Consider the following 16,530-nt stretch of genomic DNA (forward strand, 5'->3'; position numbering starts at 1 on the left):
CTGTTTAAAAGAGCAGCCCTGCTCCAAATGTTCCACCTCCCCTTATCTGCTGTACTTTTTTCCATAGCCATTTCCATGGATATCCCTAGACACGGCTTTGCTTCGATACCTGCCTCCAGTCTTCCTGCTGTCACTGGGATGACCAGACAATCCGGGCAGGAATTTTTGCTCAGAGTGAATCCACAGTGCCTCGAACAGGGCCTGACACAAAGAAGACCCTTCCTTTTTTTTTTTTTGAGATCGAGTCTCACTCTGTCACCCAGGCTGGAGTGCCACGGTATGGTCATGGAGCACTGCATCCTCGACCTCCCAGGCTCAAGCAATCCTCCCACCTCAGCCTCCCAACCTGTAGCTGGGACCACAGGTAAATGCCATCATGCCTGGCTAATTTTAATTGTTTTGTAGAGACAGGCTCTTCCTATGCTTCTCAGGCTGGTCTTGAACCCCTGGATTCAAGCAATCCTCCCACCTCAGCCTCCCAAAGTGCTGAGATTCCAGGTACCCAGACAAGAAGGCCCTTCCTAAGTAGTTGCTGAACGAATGAATGATGTGAACACTGCATGAACTGGGGTCAGTCCTGGATTCAAATCCCAGCTCACAGCTGAGTGCCACTAGGCAAGTTAATTCACTGCCCTGAGCCTTCATTTCTAAGTCTATAAAATGGGCAACATAATCCCTACCGCAGAGGGTGGTGGCAGGGACTGCACATCAGCCTCTCAGCCCTGGGCCACCAACACAGAGTACCTACCACTCAAGATCTTGTGCCTCAAATGGGCTGTTCAGCTCTGAGAATCTTCTCCTGGGGTCCTGTCTTGCATTTACTCCCCTGACCTACCTCCCCAGGGCAGGGGCTGCCTGAGCTTCTCCTGTATCCTGGGGGAAGACCTTGATTGGACTGTGGTTGTGGGAGAAATGAATGGTTGGTTCTAAAAACCCAATACCCCCACGCTTCCCTGGGGCTTCTAGGACACCTTCTAGGACACCTGTTTGCTCAGTTTTGCAAAATGGAGCAGGTTGAACCCCTCGGGGCTGTCCTGATGACATGGAGCCTTCTTTGGGCTGGAGCTTAGACCTGGAGGCTCCGAACCACTCACAAGTGACGTTCCTCAGTGGCAGGAACCCAGATTTCCCACATTCAGCACTTGAAACAACCATGACACACATCATTCTCCAAGGGGAGCCCAATTCACCCAGAGCATATTGGGGTCACTTCAGTCAGCGAAAATGGCATCTCAACCTTAATGGGGCATTTGGACAACATCCTGGTCTTGAAAATAAAAATGAAGCTGCCCCCTGAGGTCCTCCCAACAATCAGCACCTGCCTGTCCCCGCCGTTCCTGGCAGAGTTACATGACCTCACCCGCGGGATCTTGCCTGCCCACCCTGGAGTCACCTGGTCAGGGCAGGGGCCCCTCATCCCTTGATTTCCCCAGCAGCTGCAGCTGGGCCCACTCGCGCTGCCAGACCTGCTCTCACTGCACACGGAATGAGTCCTGGGCTTAAACCTGCAGCATCCTCTAAAGCCCTTTCCCCTGACATAGCCCACGTCTGTGAGAACTGCATTCGGACTTAGTTTCCCCGGCCAGCGCTCCAGGGCGCTGTTAAACCCAGAATCCACATCCCCGTGCAGGTGTGTTTACAGGCTTCCTCCACTAGGGATCCAACCCTCCTCTTTACATCGCCTTCCCTTTCCTCTCTCTTAAAGGGACAGGCCAAGGGCCACCAACTGGACTGGACCACAAGCCTGCTTGTTGGGCTCTCAGCTTAGGAAACCATATTGCCAAGGCCCCAGAACCTGAACACCAGCAAGCTCTGGCCTCATGGATGGCGGGTCCCCTGGGTCCTGTGGACACACGTCCTTCTTAAGTCCTTCCTTGCCAGTTCTGAGAAAGCCCATTTCCTTCCCAGTTCGGCTCATCTGAGCTCTGGCAAGCACATCAGCCCTACGGGCATGGATGCAAGCAGGGCACGTGCCCTCGATCCTCTCACTACAGAGATGCGGGAGCAACGGTGGAAGGCTCCTCCGAGCACCACGGTCCCCCAGGGATCTGGGGGCCCCACAGACTTTCCCACTCAAGACACAGCCTAGAGGCAGCTGTCTGCCTGGTTTGCTGCTGACTGCTGCACCTAGCATGGCACCTCGTGCGCAGAGAACATTTTGCTGCATAAATGCAGGGAGGAGGAACACAAGAACATTCTCGGTACATACTCATCGTACATGAGCTGCTAAGGCACGCAGGGGGCCTGTGGGACGGGCTCCCGATTCCCCTCTTTCCAGACAGAAAACCAAGGCACCAAACAGCTCGCTTGAGACTTGGGAGAATGAAGGCTTGGTGCCCGGAAGCGCCATCTCTCTCTTTCCGGCAGCTGCAGGGTGTTACCGGGGCAACAGACGGCTGTCTGACGGGATTTGGCAGTTTAACTCTTACTCCGCACAAAATACGAAAGTGAGAACGATTGAACAGATGTTCTTGCTTCCGACCGTTCACACAACGGAGAGGAGCTCATGATTCATCTGGCCCGGGCCGAGTCCACATCATTCCTGTCTCACACCCAGCAGGTGTGGGCCACCTGGTCCCCTGGGAACCAAAAAACGGCCTTCAACCTCCCAAACTCTAGGATTCCTCAAGGGCATCAAATTCACCTTCCAGCCTGGGCTGAGAAGACTGAGCTGGGATCCTTCTGAGGTGCAACCATGCCAGGCCTAGAGCAGCGGTTCTCAAACCTCGGGTACATCCAGATAACTTGGGTGGGGAGGAGGATTGCTAAAACACAGCAACCGTGCCAGGTGCACAGCAGCGGTTCTCAAACCTCGGGTACATCCGGACTACTTGAGTGGGAGGATTGCTGAAACACTGACTAAGAAACACAGAGTTTCTCATTCAGTATGTCGAGGGTAGGGCCCAGGAATTTCCATTTCTAACAAGTTCCCAAGTGATGCTGATGCCGCTGGTCCATGGACCACCCTTGGGAGCCACTGGTGTATACAGCCTTCCCACTCAGAACACAGTGCCTGTACCATCACCATTAGCATCACCGAGAAATGTATTAAAAACGCAAGTTAGGCCGGGCATGGTGGCTCACGCCTGTAATCCCAGCACTTTGGGAGGCCAAGGCAGGCGGGCGGATCACGAGGTCAGGAGATCGAGACCATCCTAGCCAACATGGTGAAACCCCGTCTCTACTAAAAATACAAAAAAATTAGCCTGGCGTGGTGGTGGGCACCTGTAGTCCCAGCTACACGGGAGGCTGAGGCAGAAGAATGGCGTGAACCCAGGAGGCGGAGCTTGCAGTGAGCTGAGATCGCACCACTACACTCCAGCCTGGACCACAGAGTGAGACTCTGTCTCAAAAATAAATAAATAAATACATAAATAAAAATAAAAATGCAAGTTCTCAGACCCTGCCCTCAGACCTCTAGAATAGGGTCTCTGGGGATGGGGCCCAGGAAACCAGGTTTTAACAAACCCTCCAGGGGATCCTGGGGCGCACTGACGTCTGAGAAGCCGTGGTCTAAACCTTGGCCACCTGTGAGAATCACCTGACGAGCCCTTCCAGTAAACAGGTGGCACTCTGATCTCTGGGGCTAGGTCTTAGCCTCAGTCATCTTTCAATCTCCCCAGGCAATTACGAAGCTTGAGAACCATGGGTCTAGAGCCTCACTACTCAAAGTGTGGTCTCGGAAGCAGAGATACCAGCATCTTCCGGGAGCTGGTTAGCAACGCAGAGGCTGCACCCCTGCATCTGCTGAGTCAGCCCGCATTCCAACAAGATCCCTGCGTCATAGGTCTGCATGACAGTGCGTGATCCTCGGATATAGAGACCCCTCCTGCCCATACTCACTGGCAGTGCAATCTATGAGAAAAGCATTCATCTTCTCTGGGGCTCAGTTTACTCATTTGTGAAAGCGGTTCACTATGTAAACTAGGCAACAACACATCCCTCCTATGGCAACTGTGGGATCCAGTGAGATGACACCTGAGTTGCTTCACTGTAGGGGCGTGATAAGCTGCTGTGGGAAACTCCCACACCTCCCAGAAAGCCTCAGTGCCCTCTCTCTAGCCCTTCTTAACTGCCTGGCCCCTGGGTCTGATGTTTCTTGGGGGCTATGCCAGGAGGTGGGAGCTGGAAAGGCTGGGGCTGCCCGAAGAGGCTGTACAGGAGCCAAGACCAGGTGGACAGTGCAGGCAGCACTGAGGCAGAGGTCGGGGGGCGTGGGGTGCCTGGTCTGGGGCAATGGACTGACACCAGAGTGCCCAGCCCTGGAGCTGGAGGCCAGGCTCTGATCACAGGAAGTGGGCAAGGTAACAAGAGGTGGGGAGGGTTGTCCTGGAGCAGCAAGGAAACAGGGCAGAGGGTCTGCAGCAACTTGCCGGTGCCAGCCTCTGCATTCAGCAGCAAGAAAGCAGGGCAAAGGACCTACAGCGACGTGCTGGAGCTGGTCTCTGCATTTGTTTTCCAGGAGGCTCCTGCTCCTGGCGGGTGGGGTGAGGCCTTAGGTGGTGGGTGCAGGTGGGACAAGCCCACTGAAGTCAGAGAGCTCACCCTGAGGATGCGCTAGAGAGCAGGAGGACAGTTTCCAGGCTGCCTCGGCTCTGCACTGGACAGAACCCCAGAGCCCTAGGAGATTCCATCAGAGCCCAGATGGATACCTCGGCCCCTCAGCCCTCACTCGGCGCCCTCCGGGCTCAGGGGCCACCTGTGGACATGCAGAGGCCCTGCAGCACCCCCCAGCCTTTCCTGTGAGCGAGGGGCCTGTTGCTGCTCCCCCTGGTACCCAGGGTCTGTCCCCCTGGATCCTGGAGCTCAGGCAGGTGGGAGTCGCCTCTCCATTCCTGGCCTTGCATCCGGTCTGTGCTGGTGTTTGAACCGGATCTCCCACCGCTCCTAGGCCTCCCAGGTTCCCCTCCGTCCTCCGTCAGCTGCCCCCACTTCTCTCTCTACCAAAGAGAAAAGTGCCTCTGCAGATTGGACTCGGCTCACCCATTTAAAAAATTAGAGAACAGAGAAGTTAGCATCTTAATAAGTTAAATGAATCAGTAGAATGTGTGTCTCTTTCCCTTCCCTGTGGGACTGGAATCTTCCATTTCCCTCCAGGTGCTCTCCCCAGCTTTGTGCCCTCAGGGCTGGCCTATGGCCCCCTTCGGTTGAGTTGAGACAGTGTCGTGGGCTCCTCTGCAGAACTCATTCTGGATTGCAGTGACCCTCCCTCCTCCTGTCCTCCAGGCCTAGGGTGTTTGTTCCTAGCTCCAGGGGATGACACCAGTCCTCGGTGTTTGCCCACACTCTGCCCACCACTGTATTACCTTCTCCCCAGTTGTCAGCTCAGGAGCATTCCCTCTCTCCTACCTGACCCCATCGGATAAAACCACCAGGAGGAGAAAGAGAAAGAGTTGGTGGAGTATAAGGAAAAGAAAATACGGGACTTTGAGGAAGAACAGAGAAGAAAGAGGAAAATAGAAGGAGGAAAATGAGAAAGATTTCTGGGCACAGGGCTCGGGCAGTCCAGGGGCTCTGGGACTGGGGAGCCACCTGCCCGCTCTGAACAGCTGACAGCCGCTCCAGCAGTCTGCCCTCTCAGTAACAGGAGTGGCTATCCTTTTATTCCTAACTTCCAATTTAGTATGTTCAATGAAGGCCTATTTTCCACCTAAAAGTTAAAGTTCAAGAAAGGGCAAAATAAGAACTAAAATTGTCAGAAATTTCCTTAGGAAACTGGAGCAGAGGGTCCTAAACTTGAGTGCGCCAGAATCACAGTCTTGTGTGACAAAAATCCTGATTGTCAAAAACCGCCCCTAGAAATTCTTATTTCCTGGGTCAGAGGTTGAGCCTGAGAACCGGTATTTTTTACAAGCACTGCAGGGATCCTGAAGCAGGTGCTCTTAGCTGCCACTTTGAGAAACTCCAACTTAGATGCATGGTTCCTGAAACTCTCCACCACACCCATAAACTGCCAGCTTGCCACCCACCGTGTTGCTTTGGAGGCTGTCCAGACTTTTAGAAATTATGCTCCAATAGTCTCAGATCAAGTTAGATCTGGTTGAGGATGTCACCCAGTGGTATCCAAAGGAACTCCGGGAAAAGGACTGTCCAGGAATAGATTTAATTAAAGATGATGGATTTGATTCTACATATTAGTAGATACAAGATCTCCCTGTGAGCCAACAGGACATGGGAAATGTAGGTACGTGTCCTATGCAGGCATCCCTGGCCAGAACACACAGCTTAAGGGGAAATCAAGAGAATGCGGAGTAAGCCCAAAGGAAGACCTAAAACAGAATCACGGGCTGGTGGGACAGTCATCCTGAAAGGCCAGAGGAACTGTTGGAGCACAGCCTAGAGACAAACACTGAGTAACGTTCTTTAACAAGGACTGAACGTGAAAGATGGAAACAGGAGCCCCCCACCCACTGGGGCTGAGCTGGAGGCTGCAGCCCTGCCCCTAGCCAGGAGGCCACAGTATATGGAAGAAGCTGATGTCCCAAGAGAGCTTCCTGCCAAGCCTGACGCTCACCTGCCTGGGGTGGTTTATTTGCAGTGCAGCCCGAAGATGGGATATGCTGCCGTCCCGCCTCTCACCCATGTGAGGAACAGGCAAATGCTCCTCTAAGCTCCCATGTGGGGTCTCTACCGAAACCCCATGCTGACCCCAGAGGCCCACAGACCCTGCCAAGTTCACCCTGCTCAGGTGATAAGTCGGAGCCCCAAATGCTCGCCACAGATGGGTGGCACTTGTGAACGATTTCACTGGGCTGTCACCTCTCGCAGGAGTGGGCTGTTGGGCTCTGGTCAGATGCCTCTGGCTGCTCTCTGTGCTCCGGGACCCCATAACTCAGTGCATCACCACACCTTTGCATGTGTTCTCTGGAGGCGAGGGAAGACAGACCCAGTTCTTCAACTGTACAGACATATCTGCCATCCAAGAGGACAGGGTACCAGGTCTTGGCAGAGTGGTGGCCTAGGGGATGGGTACTGAGGTCGCGACAGCCCTCTGCATCATCACCTGTCCAATGAGGGCACTGGACCAAACATTTTCTTGGATCCTTTCTGATCTTAATTCTCTGTGTCTGGAACCTAACATATGATACTGTGAATATTTATTCTCCACCATGTGACTGGCACTGTCCTAAGCACCAAGACACAAGGTCTCAATAACACAACAAGCACTCCTTGGAGGATCTGCACATGAAACTGTCACAGCCCAGAAATGCCCCAGCCTCATTGAGATGTCTGATCTCAATGAGGAAGACATTGAGATGTCTTCCTTTGCAAGACACAGTGTCTCAACTGTTCATTCCTGTGATTCTCAGTGTTTTTCCTCATCAGGGTGGATTGTTAATTCATTAAGCATTTATTGGGCCTCAGTTTTGTCTGTAACATACATAGACTAAATTATTTTAACTAGAGAACTACCTTTACTGGGATAAAATGTAATATTTTTGCCCTTAGATTTTATAAAGGAGCAAAATGAAAAGGATCCTTAAAAAAAAAAAAAAAAACCTCTGTATCATTAACAAAATTTCAGCCAGACATTGTTTTTTCTGCCTTTGATATGAAGACTGTAATAGATTCCAGTGCCAGGAAGAGGTCTCTCTCCTAAGGAGAATCTGAAGCACCCTTTTATCAGAAAATATAACATGTTTCCCTTTTTGTCTCAGCTGCCAGGAAGCTCAGAAATAAACTGAGTGTTCAACTGCAGTCACATTCAACTTAGGAACCTGGCGTGTCTATTCTTTGACCTCTTCTGCTTGGGGTTTTTAAAAATTCTGTATTCTTTTCAGTTTCCTGTTCTTGTGTGTTTTAAAATTACAAGCAGCGCCGGGCACGGTGGCTCACGCCTGTAATCCCAGCACTTTGGGAGGCCGAGGTGGGCGGATCACGAGGTCAGGAGATCAAGATCATCCTGGCTAACACGGCGAAACTCCACCTCTACTAAAAATACAAAAAATTAGCCAGGTGTGGTGGCGGGCACCTGTAGTCCCGGCTACTCGGGAGGCTGAGGCAGGAGAATGGCGTGAACCCAGGAGGCGGAGCTTGCAGTGAGCCAAGATCGCACCACTGCACTCCAGCCTGGGTGACAGAGCGAGACTCCATCTCGAAAAGTAATTAATTAATTTAATTTAATTTAATTTAATTTGAAATAAAAAAATAAAATTACGAGCAGCCTCCATACACTTTGGAGTTGAGTAGGGATCAATATTCCAGAGGGATCACAGAACATGAAAACTAAAGGAGACCAACCCTTCCTCTAGGGGAAGAAACTTAGGCCCAGAGAAGTTGAGCAACTTACCTGAGGCCAATCAGTGGTTTGGCCCTGCCCAGCGGTCCTAACTACCTTCACTTTTTGTACCATTTTCTCAGGACCATGGAAATATCCCCTCTTGCCAATGGGGACACTAAAGTCCCAAAGAGAGGACGGATGTGGGCTCTGCACACAAAGGAGGCAGGGGACGCTGGCCACCCACCACCTCGTCCTCTTGCTCAGATCTTGGGCCACCATGGAGCCCACTGTGGGAATGAGGAACTCACCCATTCAGATAATGTGTGTTGCTTGTTGCAGTAGGTGTCATATACAATAAAGGAAATTTTTCTTGGGGTCAAATTTATTGTTGATTTCCAAAAATGGATTTTTTAGTCTCATCTCCTTGCCACAGCTCTTTCCCTCCACCTCCGATCAATCCCACTGGACCCTAGCCCCAGAAGTGACATTCAGTTGAATGCATCAGTATCTCGGACCTGTTGTTAAATATTTCTGTTGCGAGTGCCAATCGCCTCTGGCTGGAACACCCTGAGTGCCTTCCGACCCCGACTGCTTGGGGGTTCATCCGGGCCCAGCTGGGGCCTCGGGGTGACCTCGTTTTTTATTTGACTCTAGGTTCTATTTTGATTATCAGCCCAGCCTAAACAGAACAGAGCTCTCTAGGAAAAAAACAACATGAAATTCGGGGTTTGATGTCAGACCAGTGTTTCAGTGTCTGCTTTGCCAATTACTGACCATCGGCAATTACCAATTCTTTCCTGCTGAGCTGATTCAAAATGGAAAGGACAGATATGTGCAAGCATTCTGTAAACTCCAAAGGCTGCTGCTTATCAGTGTATGGTCTTGGGATGAGTCAGCAAGCCAGGAACGAACAAGCTTGCTAATGGGCACTCCCGACTGAAGAATGGATGGCTGAGCAAAATCCTTATCATGGAATCGTATTGCACATTAAAAGGAGGGATTTCTGACATGAGCTACAACATGGGTAGACCTTGAGGGCATCATGCTGAGTGAAATAAGCCAGTCACAAAAGGACGAATACTGTATGATCCCACTTATGTGAGCTATTCAGAGGAGTCACATTCACAGACAAAGTAGAACAGGCTTGCCAGGGGCTGGGGAAAAGTGGGGACTGGGGAGTCATTGTTTAGTGGGTACAGAATTTCAATTTTGCAAGATAATAAGACATCTGGAGATGGATGGTGGTGATGATTACACAACAGTGTAGATGTACTTAATGCCACAGAACCGCACACTTAAAATCGGTTAAAATGGTCAATTTTATACTGTGTATATTTTACGATAATGAAAACATTTTTTTAAAGAGCTATACCAAGAGTCCTGTGCACAGGTTGTAAGGGAAAGCCTGGCCTGCCTCTGGGAGGACCATTCATGAACTGTTCATGGTGTTTGGGACATTTAGTTTGCCCATTCAGTAGGACTTTGCTGTTTCTGGTTTCTTGATAGACGAGGCTTACGATTAGCCTCTTCAAGAGTGGAGTTATTATTGAAGATGATTCAGAATGTTCCCTGAGAACACGCATTATAGGACTAGAGTTTTAATTAAGAGGAATTGATGAAACATCTATTTTGAAAGAGTGAGCTTGGCCCATGTTATGAGCTGAGAATTTAAAATAACCCATCACTAATGGGTCATATATGTCCCAGTGTCTTAGTTGGACAGAGAGAAAATGCCACACTGGCCATTCCTCCAAGGTCAGTCATCAAAATGCCCACTGCCCTGAAAACCTGCAAGGGGTTCCCCTAAATGGGTTCCATGGGTTCCCTGGCCCCTGGACCCCAACCTGAGAAGTAAGGAGAGAGTGATATTATCTGAGAGCTCCGTGTGCACCAGCCAGTCTTTCCCATACATTCTTTCATTCAATCTTCCCAACCACCCTCTGAAACCTATTTTATCCCCGTTTTATACATAAGAAAACTGATGCTCAGGGAAAGCGTAAGGCTACTGATCTTTCTTTCTTTCTCTCTTTCTCTCTTTCTCTCTTTCTTTTTCTTTTTTTTAAAAGTCCCTGTTGCCCAGGCCGGAGTGCAGTGGAACCGTCTCAGCTCACTGCACAACCTCCACCTCCGGGGCTCAAAGGATCCTCCACCTCAGTCTCCCAAGTAGCTGGGACTACAGGCGCATGCCACCAGGCCCAGCTAATTTTTTGTGTTTTTTGTTGTAGAAACGGGGTTTCACCATGTTGCCCAGGCTGGTCGTGAACTCATGAGCTCAAGCAATCCACCCACTTCACCCTCTCAAAGTGTTGGAATTACAGGCGTGAGCCACCACACCTGTCCACTATTGCTATTTCTTGAGTGTCTGCTTCTTGTTAGCACAGTGCATAGATACTTTCTAAATGACTTCATTTTTCTGGATGTTATTATCATTCCAGTTTTTTTTTAAGTGGGAAATTAAAGTCCAGAGAGGCTAAGCCATTTGCTTAAGATCACACAGGAAATGAATGATAAAGCTAGTTCAAATATGTATTTTTCCATTGGTCCAGTGATCTCTTGTCATTCTCTCTCAGTTGGCTCTGTGAGGAGATGGTGGGGGAGGAAGAGTAAGTACCCCAGGAGGTACTTGGCAGCTTGCTGGGCTCAGGAGATGCTGGTGGGCTCCCACATGTTAGCTGTAAGCGAACAGAGCACTGGGCATTTCTGGCTTTAGTGAATAAGCCGGGAATTAGAGTAAAATATGCTGCACCTGAGAGGGCCTGTGCCTGGTGGGAAGACAGGTGAAGAGCACCTTGGCCACAGTCACAGTGAGACCATTGCCAGCTAATTCTCTCCTGAGTTTCCTTCCAAACCAGGTGAGGGCAACAGAGTTGAAACCACCCGCTCAGAGGGAGGCAGATGCTCCCCAGAAAGGCTACCATCTCCCTGACCAATCCTAAGCCTGGGCCACGGACCCTGCCAGACTCTAGTTCCCAGGCAGCTCAGCCACATACTGAGCCATATCTTTTTGCAGGAAAAGTAATTTTTTATTTCATCCCCACTCCCAGCTTGGTGAGGAAGAGGTGACAGTGAGAGGCTGGGTTAACAAACACTCAGGCCACCTGGAAAACTCTCTCATATTTGTCTTCATTCTCACCCTCTCCCTCCTGCCAAGAAAAGTTACCCCAGTGAGGTTCTCCTTCTTCTCCAGGAGGTGCTTCCATAGAAAAAGATGCCAATGTGGCAAGTAGTGAAGGAAGCGCACAGAGCTCGAGGTGGGAACTCCTGGGCTCCTGGGGGATGGCAGTTGGTGTTCAGCAGGTGCAGATTTCAGCCGGGGAAGGTGAAAAGGTTCTGTAGACGGATGATGATGATGCTTGCATGACAACATGGATGTGCTTAATGCCATTGAATTGTACACTTACAAATGGTTAAAATGATAAATCTCATGTGATGTATATTTTACCAAGCTTTTTTTTAAAAAGAACATCTGGTTTCAAATCCCACCTCTGCCCCTTGCTGGCAGGTGACCTTCGGGAGCTGCCTATCTCTCCTAGAGGCCTCGGTTTCTCTCTCCGGAACACAGTCCTTGCTGCCCTGATGCTCCCAGTACTTGCAGGACCCAGACAAAGCTCTGGCAGTTGTGCTGATAGCAATGGGGAACCTGAGAGGAACTAGCACCCTCCTGCAGCCAACGATCCCTTGGCTGCCCCGGCAGGGGGAGTGTGGGTGGCACCATCCCAGGCTGCTCCCCCATCACCCAGCCTTCAGGAGGCTTCGAGCGACTTCTCCAAGCAAAGAACACAGTGCATTGAGGCCAGCTGCTGCCCACCAATCAAAACAAGTCCAGTGTCCTCCCCAGCGCGCCTAAAGGCAGGTGCAGGTGCACTGCCCTACAAAGCAAACAACAGCCAAGAGCCGCCTTTGGTCCTCCGAGCTAGCCAGAGCCACGTGCTTGCCCACTGCGAGAGTTTCCATGCCCTCGCCCACCACCTGCCCTGGGCACACGGCTGAAAGAAGGAAAATTACACCTCTGCTGGGGCCCACGCCACTGCACAACGCGTGTGGTCTCGCGGATTTGTGTGACTCCTCTCTGGGCTGGAGGAAATGGAGACATCTGTCCCAGTGAGATTTTCAATTAAAGGGGAAACAAAGCCCCATTACAGCAGCACTGGCAGGGGGCTGGGAGGCCAGAATTCAAATCCCAGCTCAGCCCAGCTGACCGCAAGGCCGAGTCACACTGTGTCTGCTTAGGCCTGGCCACTTCCACCACATTCTGTAGGGAGACTTGGGTTCAGATTCTGCTCTGACACTTGGTCAATTCACTCAATCTCCAAGCCTCCCTCATGGGAACACGGAGGTATCAAAAGCGCCCACCACGCAGTGGCTCACGCCTGTAATCCCAGCACTTTGGGAGGCCGAGACGGGCAGATCACGAGATCAGGAGATCGAGACCATACTGGCTAACAAGGTGAAACCCTGTCTCTACTAAAAATACAAAAAAAATTAGCTGGGCGCAATGGCGGGCGCCTGTAGTCCCAGCTACTTGGGAGGCTGAGGCAGGAGAATGGCATGAACCCGGGAGGTGGAGCTTGCAGTGAGCCGAGATCGTGCCACTGCACTCCAGCCTGGGTGACAGAGCAAGACTCCATCTCAAGAAAAAAAAAAAGTGCCCCCCCCCAACCTCGCCACCATGTTGTGGGAGGGTTTAGTGGGGTCATTAGCAGAAAAGTCTATTTGTTGAATGAGTGACTGATTGTAAACAAGCCCACCCAAGACCCCAGCAGGGTCCTCCTTCCTTCCCCTGCCATGGGCATCTGACCCCATGTCATGGTGGAAGCTCAATGAAGGGAAAGCTGCCACCGGGAAGACCAGCTCCCAGAGACCCGGAGGCATGCAGACAGCAGCTCATCCAGTCCCCATTTGCAGGACAGGACCTGAGAACCAGATACGCCTGCAGGTGCCTGTCCCTCTGCGCCCCCCGGGTGGTGTTAGGGCTCCCTGTGCACGGAGGCCTGCAATCATTTGGACAACACATGGTTACCAGGTGTCTGCTATGTGCCAAACGATGGTCACAGGAGGGTGAGAAAGACAGTCTCCACGTTCAAGAGTACAAAGTCCGTGATCCAGGAAGACAATGAGGCAGCCACTGTGTCTCATTTCTGGATGAATGGATGTCACAAAGCCATGGAAGTGGTTCAGTGGCTTCCATATCACTAGGCTACCTCGCCTGTCTCTCTCTCTCTCTCTCTCTCTCTGTCTCTCTCTCTCTCTCAGAGCAGGCTACCTAGGATTTTACTTGCAATCCTCCAATAGCGATGTGGCCTCCCTGAAAGAAAACATCTGGCTGCCTGAGCCCCAGTGGGCTGGGGGGCTACACTGAACCAAGGCCATCTGTGTAGATGCAGGAGGTGGTCCCTGCTGAGCGTGCATGCCATGGATGCAGGTCGTCTTCCCCAGCCCATCCCACCACAACACCGAGGCCAGGACCAGAAAAGGATGAACAGCTGCCAAGGGCTAAGCAGATCCAAAAAAGGCCAGGTGACATGCCCAAGATCACACAGCTGGTGAGGTTTTCTGACTCTGCATCCCCAAGAGACCTCGTCTCACAGGCACTCCCTTTACAAGCAGCCTCAAGACCTCCCCAGGTTGGGGTGCACTGCAGAGGTTGTCCAGGCCAGCACCCTCATTTTACTAAGATGGAACCCAGGAGGGGTGGCCTGCCTGAAACCATGGAGATTTTCAATAGCAAAGAAAGCCCTAGAACCCATGCCTCAAGGGTCCATTGGTCTCCCCCATCCCAGGGACACCCTGCCCTCTGGTGGCCAACTGGAGAATACATGTGGAGAATGACAAATTCCCTAACCCCCTGCACAGGTTAAGAGATGAGACTCTCTAATAAGCCAAGCAGTCAGCCAGTGGGTCTAGGGAGGCAGTAAGTCCCCCGCCACTGGAGGAATGTGGGATGAGACTAAATTACAACCCTGGATGCAACCCAAAATATGTAACAACAGAACTATCCAAGCCCCAGCCCATTAGCATGAGCCATCTTCAACAGCCAGGACAGCTGAGGCTGGGCACCCCGACTAATTGCTGTTGCTGTGACCGCTCTCAGAGACAGATGAGTGCTAATGTCCCTCTGCCTCGAAAGGTCTATCACGGAGGTGGGTTCGGGGATAGAGACAGTGCAGGGGTCATAGAACGAGGAGAAGTTTTGGAATCAGGCAGTAACGTGGGAAGGTTACTGGACCACTGTCACAGGAGTAATAGCACATACCTTCCAAGTGTGTGGAAGGATCCAGTGAGCTAATTTTTGAAAAGTTAACTTTTGAAAAGCTAATTTTTGAAAAAGTGTGGACCCTCAATAAATGGCAGCCGTTATCTTGGCAACTGGTGGTGATACAGGCGATGACTCCAGAACGTACCATTTTGGAGCAGAAACTGTCACCCACATGTCTCCAGCTTTCAGGTTTTTGCTCTTTTGATTAACATTATAAACCTAGTGGGTCTGCCTTATTTAGCCTCCTTCCCATTTCATCAGCAGGAATGATGGAAATGGAAAGCAACTGGCCTCTATTTCCCATGCACCCACTGAGGTCCTAGTGACACTCAATGAGGGCCTAGCCCCACCCCCATTACCATCACCACCTAAGCCCTAACTCGCCATGATTCAGAACAGATTCATAGCAGAGAATAGATTTATTGCCTGATATGCATATTTAATGACTTTCAAGGATAGTTCATAACTACACCATGCAATTTATTGGTATTTAATGTTATGCATTAATGAATAATGTTTAAGCCATCCAACACTGGCCAATTTGAGAAACTTAATATAACATTCAATAACTCTTGTCAAGACTTAATAAATTTCCATGGATTTATACATCCTGTGAAATGCACTCCATCTCAAACAAATTAAATAATGCATGTGATGATGTGATGGGGGAGGGGGAAGACGATTTGTTGAAGGCTGATTTGATGGGAAACAGGTGTATTTTATCACTTGGGCTTTTTATTAGGGTCTCGTGCATTCTCCTCCAGAGAAAGAAACAGGCACCCCAAGACACTCGGCCCAAGGTAGTTAAGCCAGATGCAGATCATTCTCTGCCCTTAACATAGATGGAAATGAGCTTCCTCCAGCTTTGCTTGACCCTCTTCACTTCTTTGCCTTGGTTCTTTGCTTTGACAAAGACGCCCACCCTCTGCTTCAGCCATAGACCCCAGTCTCCCTCCCTGGCCAGGGGCAGCCAGACAACTCCTCCCCCCGTGCTGACGCACGGCCTTGTCCCATGTCATTCTTCTCCCTTGGAAACTTCAGTGGCCACCGTGGCCTGTGGGCAGGGCCACATTGCTTAGCTGGACGTTCCAGGCCTCCCAGATGTCATCCTGCCACTGGCCCAGCTTCAGCCCTGTGTCATCTCACAGAGACCGTACCCTCGGGCAAATTACTCTGCTGCCATGCCCAGACCCATCTGTCCACCCCCTGCCTGGAATGCCTCCTGATCATCTAATTTTTCCTATCAAAGCCTGCTTGACTTTAGGGACCCAATCCCATCTTCAATGTCACCTCCTCCTTGCAGTCTTCCCTGAATCCCCCAATGAGAAAGAGCTCACTGTCCCTAGGAGGTTCTGGGGATCTCACGGCACATCCTACTCTGCCCCTCCCTGTTTCCTCCCACTAGGAAGGGCTCCTGGAAGGGCCAGGCCCACTAGCCTACTCCCCCAACCCCCAAGGGCCCAGCGAACTCAATAGGAATTTGTTGAAAGAACACATAAGTTAACCGAATAATGCTCCTTTGTGTTTGCAGAAAAATGAGGAAGCAAGCAGAAGGCTCGGGTCAGCAGCTACAGGGGTCCCAGTGGCCCCAGGCAGCCAGCACGTTCCTGGTTCCTGGGGGACCTGCCGAGAACCCAGGCCACCTTCCAAGGGGATAAGGCAGCAGGACCTCCACACCAGAGCCAGTCCCTTTCACAGTCTCTCCTCCGGTCTGGTCCTTTAGAAAGACCCCCGACCCTCTAGCCCCTGAAGCAGCCAAGACAGTTGGTCAAGCCACTTCACCTGCCTAAGCCATTTCCTTCTCTGTAAGGTGGGTTGAGTGCAGCCTGGCTCCTCCTTGGGGGACACACGAAATCATATGTCTGCAGGTCCCTTGTGGACAAGTCAGGCTGCCTGAAACGGACAATGGCCACAGCAGCTCCTGACCCTCTGTTCCCTGTGGCTACTTGGACCCTCCGTAGGGGTTTTCTCTCAGCTCTGAGTGAGGACCCTGTGCTGCGGGGAGGGGAGATCCAGGGCTGTGCCGTCACGCACAGACTCCCAGGCTGAGGTC

The 16,530-nt window shown here is 51.2% G+C and overlaps 1 protein-coding gene across 2 annotated transcripts in view, besides 2 other annotated features; it reads right to left on the minus strand.

Annotated features, from left to right (window-relative positions):
- Positions 1-16,530, minus strand: part of XKR6 (XK related 6) — a 305,789-nt gene that overhangs the window by 67,279 nt on the left and 221,980 nt on the right. The window lies entirely within an intron of this gene.
- Positions 7,953-8,348: a silencer, noted in NCBI's record as "fragment chr8:10828786-10829181 (GRCh37/hg19 assembly coordinates)". NCBI's record gives its function as "represses an EF-1alpha promoter that drives an FKBP-Casp9 reporter gene in an ReSE screen in K562 erythroleukemia cells {active_cell/tissue: K562}" and the evidence as "EXISTENCE:reporter gene assay evidence [ECO:0000049][PMID:32094911]".
- Positions 13,112-13,613: an enhancer, noted in NCBI's record as "H3K4me1 hESC enhancer chr8:10833945-10834446 (GRCh37/hg19 assembly coordinates)". NCBI's record gives its function as "activates a minimal SCP1, AML or CMV promoter by ChIP-STARR-seq in naive H9 embryonic stem cells {active_cell/tissue: H9 hESC(naive)}" and the evidence as "EXISTENCE:reporter gene assay evidence [ECO:0000049][PMID:30033119]".

This window comes from Homo sapiens, chromosome 8 (assembly GCF_000001405.40).
Source record: "Homo sapiens chromosome 8, GRCh38.p14 Primary Assembly".
Taxonomy (NCBI): Eukaryota; Metazoa; Chordata; class Mammalia; order Primates; family Hominidae; genus Homo; species Homo sapiens.